Source organism: Homo sapiens, chromosome 6, assembly GCF_000001405.40.
Source record: "Homo sapiens chromosome 6, GRCh38.p14 Primary Assembly".
Lineage (NCBI taxonomy): Eukaryota > Metazoa > Chordata > Mammalia > Primates > Hominidae > Homo > Homo sapiens.
In genome coordinates, this window is record NC_000006.12 from 131,316,021 (window position 1) to 131,325,968 (window position 9,948).

General features: G+C 40.8%; 1 annotated feature.

Moving 5' to 3' along the window:
• Positions 7,044-7,832: an enhancer, noted in NCBI's record as "OCT4-NANOG-H3K27ac-H3K4me1 hESC enhancer chr6:131644204-131644992 (GRCh37/hg19 assembly coordinates)". NCBI's record gives its function as "activates a minimal SCP1, AML or CMV promoter by ChIP-STARR-seq in naive and primed H9 embryonic stem cells {active_cell/tissue: H9 hESC(naive and primed)}" and the evidence as "EXISTENCE:reporter gene assay evidence [ECO:0000049][PMID:30033119]".

The following is a 9,948-nucleotide window of genomic DNA, read 5'->3' on the forward strand; positions in this document are numbered from 1 at the left end:
TTTTTTTTTTTTATTTTTTGAAAAGGAGTCTTGTTCTGTCACCCAGGCTGGAGTGCAGTGGCGCCATCTCAGCTCACTGAAACCTCCACCCCGACTGGTTCAAACGATCCTCCTGCTTCAGCCCCCTTAGGAGCTGGGACTGCAGGCTGCACCACCATGCCCAGCTAGTTTTTATATCTTTGGTAGAGATGGGTTTTCGTTATGTTGGCCAGACTGGTCTTGAACTCCTGGGCTCAGCCACACAGTATCTGTTAGACTGTGCATAATCCAGCTAACATTTTCAGACTTCAGTATTCTCCACAGCTGACCAATAATGTTCATATGGGATGTGAGTTGTATTAGATGGCTTCCTGGGATTTGTTAGCTTCAGGGTTTTTGATGTAATTCTGCCATGCATAATCACCATTCTCTTTTCAATTGCACAAAGGCCATTTTTCTGAGATTTCATGTAAAATTATGATGGTGGGTTTACAGAGATCAAAGAGTTATGAGCAAAGAGGGTGCCCAAAGAAATTACTGCTAGAATAATTACTGTTGCTAACAGTACTGTAACTTAAAATATTTGTTCAAGCAACATATATTGAATGCCTTGGGTATGCTAGGCCTGGAGGTACAGAGTGAACAAAATAGTTGTGTTTGGAAAATTATGATAAGTTAATGATAAGCCCTCTTAGTAGAGGGCTTATTTCAAGGAAGGACAGCAAGTACAAAATGTAAAACTGGTGAAACTGAAAGAAGCCAATGTGATTGGAGTGCAGAGACTGAGGGGCTGGGTTGGGTAGGATTTGGCTCAGGTGCTAACCACAGCTGAGAGGGCAAGTAAGATGCAGTCTCAAAGTGTCCTTTGGGTTTAGCAACACTGTGGAGCTCAAGTGAAGTCCCTTTCAAGGAGCAGTGGTGGTGACAGCCACAGCAGAGTGGGTGGAGAATTGTCCAGGAGATGAGGCCACAGATGTGGTGAGAATGAGCACCGTCTTGAGAAATTTGGTTATGAAAAGAAGAAAAGAGAGGGGAAAATAGATGGGGAGTGTTTAGGGCTGAGTGTTTGAGTCCCTCCAAAATTTATGTGCTGATATCCTACCCCCCAATGTGATGGTATTAGGAGGTGGAGACTTTGGGAGGTGATTAGGTCAGAGGGTGGAGCCCTTATGAGTGGGATTAGTGCCCTTATAAAAGGACCCCAGAGAGCTCTCTCACTCTCCTTTTCACAAGCAGACGCAGCAATCAGACAGCTGTTTACAAACTAAGAAGAGGGTCCTCACCATGAACCTGACCCTGCTGGCATCCTTGTCTTGGACTTCCAATTTCCAAAACTGTGAGAAATCAATGTTTGCTGTTTAAGCCACCAATTTATTGTATTTTGTTATAGCAGCCAGAGCTAGGACAGAAATGAAATTGGTTGATTTTCTTTTCCCTTTCCTAATGGGAAAAGACAAAATGGAGAGGTTAAAGATGTAGAAGAGAGAAGGGATAGAATTCTTGATAGTTGACATATGGGATATGGAGCACAAGTAGATGAATTGGCCTTAGGTGAAGGGGACACTCCTCTACTGTAAACCCTGGCTGTATTATGCGGGGACAGGAAGGTTAGTGATATTCTGAGGTTTTCCTAATGTATCTCGAAAGAAATGGGTTCCCTAGATGTCAAAGGGATGGATTGCATGAACAGCCTGTGTGAGTCACAAACCAACCAAGAACTGTGAGATTATGCCAGAGACACTGAGTCTGCAGTACTGCAGATATCCATGTGATGCTCTGAGAAGCCTAAATATTTGTTAACGTAGTTTGTCTTCTACAGAACATACAATGTTTTATTCATTATTGGTCTCCATTAGTCTGGAGACTAATACACTGTGGGCAGAGAGCTTGCACTAGCTCTATGGTAAAAATGCAGTTACTGATTAGGCTCAAGCCAACAGGATTATGAAAACTCAGGTAACTTGTAACGAGGCCTCTAATCTGGTGATTATAGGTCAGTGTCCTGTGATGATTTGAAGAAGGCATCGAAGGTCTGAGTTTCAAAGATCATTCTTCTACATTTTTCCCCATTTTTACCTGATGCTCTCTTTTTAACCAGCCACCTTCATTTTCCTTTTCCCAGAGGTGCTCTTTCCTGCTACATTTGGATACAAGTCTCTGGTGGGCCCTGTTTGCCCAGATCCTTGGGCAAGTAAGTTTGACGTCAATTGATCTTAATCTCAGATGCCAAGTTTGTGCTAAGGTGTAAACGACCCTTCAGTAAATTGACTAATCTTGTTGGGCATTGCCATAGTTATAAAATGTTAAGGAAGTAGAGGTTTTTGTTTGTTTGTTTGTGAATTTTTTCAACAGAGAGCCTTTCAAAAGATGTCACAAAGATTAGGAAACATCTCCATCTGTTATGGAGTATGTTTTCTGTAATGATTCAGTTACCAAGACTACACTGGCAGCAAGAGTTCCTCTGTCTGGGTGATGCTGAAGGTCAATCTCTGATCGGTCCTCAGAAGCCTTCAAAGATCTTTGAAATGTTTTCTTAATGCTCCTCTCTGGCTCCTTAAATAATGATTGAGGCTTGGATTCTATTAGAGTGAGCAGGGACTCAATATGAAATTCTGCACCAGGCACACAGTTAATATAATTTATTTTATTTAGAATTCTGCTCTCTGTACGGTCTGGTTATCAATTCTCTTTTTCATGATTTGGCATTAATGATGGAAAGAACAAATTCAGATGTCCTTCCTCTTTGAGTGATTCACAGTGTGTTTTCTATTTCCATTGACAACCTTCTCAGTGTTTTGATAATAACTTCCTCAATAGGACACCAAAATTATGTGAATAAATGAAAAGAATTCTTATAATCATAGAAGATAAATGAACTATCTGTACCATCAAACTACATTTAAATGTAAGGGCTAAAAATATTTTTAAGAATTAGGAAATCCAAGTGAATCCTGATTTTTCCTTCTATGCCTTCCCCCCAACTCCAAAGTCACTTTTTAAATTGAAGTATGATTTATATATTATAAAATTAACCAATTTTAAGGAAATAATTTGTCTTTATATTTTAACAAAAATGAAAATGTTAGAAGGTACAACCACTTATTAATATTTTTTTGAGAAAATAAGTCATTCTACCAAAAAGACACACGCACTCACATGTTCATTGTAGCACTAGTCACAACAGCAAAGGCATGGAATCAACTTAGGTTCCTGTCAACAGTGGACTGGATTAAGAAAAGTGATACCAGTCCTTTGCAGCAACATGGATGCAGCTGGAGACCATTATCCTGATTGAATTAACACAGAAACAAAACCAAATACTATATGTTCTCACTTTATGAGTGGGAGCTAAACATTGGATACATGTGGACATAAAGATGGCAACAATAGACAATGAGGACTACTAGAAGGGAGAAGGAGAAAGAGGTGCAAAGATTGAAAGCTATCTATTAGGTACTATGATCACTACCTGGGTGATGAGATCATTCATATCCCAACCCTCAGCATCCTGCAATATACCCATGTAACAAACCTGCACATGTACTCCTGAATCTAAAATAAAAGTTGGCTGGGCGTGGTAGCTCACACCACCTAATTCCAGCACTTTGGGAAGCCGAGATGGGTGGAGCACTTGAGGTCAGGAGCTCAAGCCCAGCTTGGCCAACATGGTGAAACCCCGTCTCTACCAAAAAAATACAAAAATTAGCTGGGTGTGGTGGCATGCACCTGTAGTTCCAGCTACTTGGAAGGTGGGAAAATCATTTGAACCTAGGAAGTGGAAGTTGCAGTGAGCTGATATCGCACCACGGTGCTCCAGCCTGGGTGACAGAGTGAGACCCTGTCTCAAAATAAATTAATGAATGAATAAATACATAAATAAATAAAATAGAAGTTGAAGTTTTAAAAAATGTATTTTTTAATTGCACAAACACAAATATGGAATGAATTGAGAAAGCTATCAATATTTCTCCAAAGACATTAAACTCATACCACATTTTTCTTTCAAGAATCAGTTAATTCAATTTTATATCGAATTAACTGGGATAGAGAAAAAGATTATATATTGCCCACCTCATTTTATGAAATAAATATAATCCTAATATCAAATAGACACAGACAAGATGCCATAGAACAGTCTCACTTATATGTATGTATGAAAAATTATAAACAAAGGATTGAATATAAATTAGTAGTTTGTAAAATAATGACCTGCCCTGTGCAATGGGATTTATTCTGGCAATATAATGGTGTTAAGTCTAATATTATAAAATTCACCACAAAAATAACATTACTAAATAAATTAGGAATGGGCTACGTTTATTTCAAAGTAGGTCGCATGAGTATTTGAGAGAATCTCATTTTTTGTTTAAAATAAAATAAACAAATTTCTTTCTAAAGTAAAAATGGAATAGCCCTTAATGTGACAAAGTATATCTATTTGAAATCAACAACATAGAGCTTATTTAATGCTGAAACTCAAAAATATTTCCCTTAAAGCCAGAAATATATTGGGCAATCCCTTACCAATATTATTATTTAATAGCACTCCAGAATTTCTGGTCAATGCTATAGGACATGAAATTGAATCAATGGAAATACATGTTAGAAAAGATGTCTCAACTTTATTATTTTTGGATGACATTATCACACACTTATCATACATTATCATAAATAGACAACTCAAGAGACTCCACAGAAAAATTCTAGGAATTAATTTTAAAGGTCAATGAAATGGCAGGGTATATGATAATCACACCAAAAAAATCAAATGATTTGCCAGAAGTGAGTTTAAATATAAAAGAAACAGAAGTAGGACTCACAATTGCAATAACTATTAATATTTAAACTATCCACCAAAAATCTTGAGTAATAAATGATCAGTCATGAAATTCACAGTATTCTTAAGATACTCCCAAAGAAATAGTTGAGAAGTGCAGATTGTTCCAGCAATGAGGTCTAGGAGGGGTGGGATGGTATGGAGTAGATAACATCCTCAACATGATTTTTTTTTTTTTTTTCTGAGACAGTCTCGCTCTGTTGCCCAGGCTGGAGTGCAGTGGTGCCATCTCGGCTCACTGCAACCTCTGCCTCCTGGATTCAAGTGATTCTCCTGCTTCAGCCTCTCCAGTCGCTGTGATTACAGGTGTGTGCCACCACACCCAGCTAATTTTTGTATTTTTTTTACTAGAGACTGGGTTTCACCAGCTTGGCCAGGCTGGTTTCAAACTCCTGACCTCAGGTGATCCACCCACCTTGGCCTCCCAAAGTGCTGGGATTGCAGGTATGAACCACCATGCCTGGCCCTCAACATGAATTTGTAAGAGGTACAAAAGCGACTTTTTTCTAGGGATCACTTCAAGAATTTATCAAACCATTTCAAACTTATGATCACACTTAAGTATAATTTGGTGAGAGCTGCCTCTAGTACTAATAATCTATCTCAGATGTATGGTTATCTGATGGTCCAGCTTGATTTATGGACAGATTTAAAATGGAAGGAGCACAGAATTGGCATGGGATCAATGGCTGTGGGGTTTGGGTCATGTGCATATGGGGGTTCATTATATCATTTTGTCTACTCCTGGGTGTGTTTGAAATTTTCTGTAATAAAAGATTAAACAAACAAACAAGACCAAAACAGTAGTTCTTAATACAGGCTCAACCAACACATAGAGGGATTTCAGTGGGGCCCAATAACCCTCCAGAAATTATTCGCAAAATGTTATATCTATGAGCATATGTACATTTTTTGAGGGAGGAGTTCCAAAACATGAATCAGATTCTTAGCAGTCTATTTTGCTAGAATGAACAATTGGAGTAAATAGGCTGCCTAACTGTTAGCCAAGATTCCATGAGGACCATATCTTGCAACAAATGTTTATAATAGAAATTGGGAAATAGAGATTTTAAAGCTATGATCCCTTGCAAAGACTCTGAAATACAAATGCCAAACCATTCTTGAAATCATTGCAGTAAAATAACTAATGATTGATAACCTAAGATTTTATGGGAAAACAGAGTTGGGAGGATTGAGGATGCAAGTGAAACTGTGAAAGTGACTATAATAAGTTGTTAACTTATAAAAACAATATAATTGGGGCAACACATTAAATAAAGCAAGTGAAAGTGAGATCTTATAAACCCATCTTTTAAATTAAAGACCTTATAGAATTAATTTCCATTTATTATTTCTAGCTCCAGAGAAACATATTCACCCTTTCCCATTGAGCTCCTTTCAAATTCATTTTGCTTTGCTGGCAATAATCTGCATTCTAAAAAGCTCTCCCCCTTTCCTGCCTCCCACTGCGTAGCTTTTCTCATTCTTGGCTCAAATGATCAAGACCTTTTAAATTTTGACACTAGAAGTTGTCAATTTCAACCTCCCAAGCCCACAATGTTCTAGAAACAAATAGAGTGAAATGGCATTAGTTAAGAATGTTTCAATACCCTCTCTTAGAAAAGACCCAGGTCTATGATGACTTTTTTCCCTCAACTTCCAATATATTATGCATGGTTTCACTAGAAAACTTGAGTTTCCACTCTGTCACCCACTTTGTCTCTTTTCCTTCTATAAGTAAACGATTTTTAATTAATAAACAAAAATCCAAAAGTACAGCTATGTGTTGATGATGGTAGATAATAATCACTCTGTGCCAGGCACTTTTCTATGTGCTTTGCATGTACTGACACGTACAATTCTCATACCAATGCTAGGAGGTGTGAAAAAATTATCTGAAACGTAGAAATAGGTAAAAAACCAAAACAAACAAACAAAAAACTGGGCTTTTTTTTCAGGGCATTGCTGAGCTTGCAGCTTTGATTTTCTGTTACCTGGACTATTTTACTACTCTGTAGATGCAGAGGTTAACATAGATTTGTGTCAAGATGTAGATAATTTCTATTAGGTCAGTGGGCCAGGTAGGTTTATGTGTATGTGTGTGTGTGTGTGTGTGTGTGTGTGCATGTGTGTGTATGGTGTGGTGATAATCTTAAAGACTGTAGTTCATTGCCATCTTGACATTAACCAATTTTGCTCCTATCCCAGCAATCTTATCCTAACATTTATTTATTAAATTACCTATAAATGCCTAGCTTCCCCAATGCCCTTTGAACCTGTTTTACTGTTTTCTCATTAATTAATGAGTTAAACAAAACCTTTGACACATGTTCTTTTTTTTAACCTTTTAAAAAGCATACTCTAACACTAGGTATATTACATGATAACCTTTTAATGGTTGAATATTATTCTATTTTATGAACTACAAACAATTCACTCAAGTTATTCCTCCATTATAGTGTCAGGCCTCTGAGCCCAAGCCAAGCCATCGCATCCCCTGTGACTTGCACGTATAAGCCCAGATGGCCTGAAGTAACTGAAGAATCACAAAAGAAGTGAATATGCCCTGCCCCACCTTAACTGATGACATTCCACTACAAAAGAAGTGAAAATGGCCGGTCCTTGCCTTAAGTGATGACATTACCTTGTGAAAGTCCTTTTCCTGGCTCATCCTGGCTCAAAAACCTCCCCCACTGAGCACCTTTCGACCCCGACTCCTGCCCGCCAGAGAACAAACCCCCTTTGACTGTAATTTTCCTTTACCTACCCAAATCCTATAAAACAGCCCCACCCTTATCTCCCTTCACTGACTCTCTTTTCCGACTCAGCCTACCTGCACCCAGGTGAAATAAACAGCCATGTTGCTCACGCAAAGCCTGTTTGGTGGTCTCTTCACACGGACGCGCATGAAATTTGGTGCCGTGACTTGGATCGGGGGACCTCCCTTCGGAGATCAATCCCCTGTCCTCCTGTTCTTTGCTCCATGAGAAAGATCCACCTACGACCTCAGGTCCTCAGACTGACCAGCCCAAGAAACATCTCACCAATTTCAAATCCGGTAAGCGGCCTCTTTTTACTCTCTTCTCCAACCTCCCTCACTATCCCTCAACCTCTTTCTCCTTTCAATCTTGGCGCCACACTTCAATCTCTGCCTTCTGTTAATTTCAATTCCTTTCATTTTCTGGTAGAGACAAAGGAGACACTTTTTATCCGTGGACCCAAAACTCCGGCGCCAGTCACGGACTAGGAAGGCAGCCTTCCCTTGGTGTTTAATCATTGCAGGGACACCTCTCTGATTATTCACCCATGTTTCAAAGGTGTCAGACCACTCAGGGACACCTGCCTTGGTCCTTCACCCTTAGCGGCAAGTCCTGCTTTTCTGGGGAAGGGGCAAGTACCCCAACTCTTTCTCTCCTTGTCTCTACCCCTTCTCTGCTTTTCTGGGGGAGGGGCAAGTACCCCTCAACCCCTTCTCCTTCACCCTTAGCAGCAAGTCCCGCTTTTCCAGAGGAGGGGCAAGTACCCCAACCTCGTATCTCTGTGCCCCAATCCCTTATTTCCACGCCACAACCTCTTATATCTCTGCACCCCAGTCCCTTATTTCCACACCCTGACTTCTTATCTCTGCACCCCAATCCCTTATTTCCATGCCCCGACCCCTTATTTCTGTGCCCCGACCCCTTATTTCCATGCCCCGACCCCTTATTTCTGCACCCCATCCCTTATTTCTGTGCCGCAACCTCTTATCTCTGTGCCCCAACCCCTTTTCCCACTTTTCTAGAAGGTAAGAACCCCCGAACCCCTTCCCTCCATTTCTCTACTCTCTCTTTTCTCTAGGCTTGCTTCCTTCACTATAGGCAACTTTCCACCCTCCATTCCTCCTTCTACTCCCTTAACCTGTGTTCTCAAAAACTTAAAACCTCTTCAACTCACACCTGACCTAAAACCTAAATGTCTTATTTTCTTCTGCAATGCTGCTTGACCCCAATACAAACTCGACAGTAGTTCCAAATAGCCAGAAAACGGCACTTTCAATTTTTCCATTCTACAAGATCTAAATACTTCTTATCGTAAAATAGGCAAATGGTCTGAGGTGACTGACGTCCAGGCATTTTTTACACATCAGTCCCTTCCTAGTCTCTGTGCCCAGTGCAACTCGTCCCAAATCTTCTTTCCCTTCCGCCTGTCCCCTCAGTCCCAACCCCATGCATCACTGAGTCTTTCTAATCTTCTTTTTCTACAGACCCATCTGACCTCTACCCTCCTCGCCAGGCCAAGCTAGGTCCCAATTCTTCCACCCTATAATCTTTTTATTGCCTCCCCTCCTCATACCTGGTCCGGCTTACAGTTTCCTTCCGTGACTAGCCCTCCCCCACCTGCCCAGCAATTTCCTCTTAAAAAGGTGGCTGGAGCCAAAGGCATAGTCAAGGTTAATGCTCCTTTCTCTTTATCCCAAATCAGATAGCGTTTAGGCTCTTTTTCATCAAATATAAAAACCCAGCCCAGTTCATGTCTCATTCGGCAGCAACCCTGCGACGCTTTACAGCCCTAGACCCTAAAAGGTCAAAAGGCCATCTTATTCTCAATATACATTTTATTACCCAATCTGCTCCTGACATTAAATAAAACTCCAAAAATTAGAATCTGGCCCTCAAACCTCACAACAGGATTTAATTAACCTCACCTTCAAGGTGTACAATAATAGAAAAAAGTTGCAATTCCTTGCCTCCACTGTGAGACAAACCCCAGCCACATCTCCAGCACACAAGAAATTCCAAACACCTGAACCACAGCGGCCAGGCATTCCTCCAGAACCTCCTCCCCCAGGAGCTTGCTACAAGTGCCAGAAATCTGACCACCAGGCCAAGGAATGCCTGCAGCCCAGGATTCCTCCTAAGCCGTGTCCCATTTGTGCAGGACCCCACTGGAAATCGGACTGTTCAACTCACCTGGCAGCCACTCCCGGAGCCCCTGGAACTCTGGCCCAAGACTCTCTGACTGACTCCTTCTCGGCTTAGCGGCTGAAGACTGACGCTGCCCGGTCGCCTCGGAAGCCCCGTAGACCATCAGGGACGCCGAGCTTTGGGTAACTCTCACAGTGGAAGGTAAGCCCGTCCCCTTCTTAATCAATA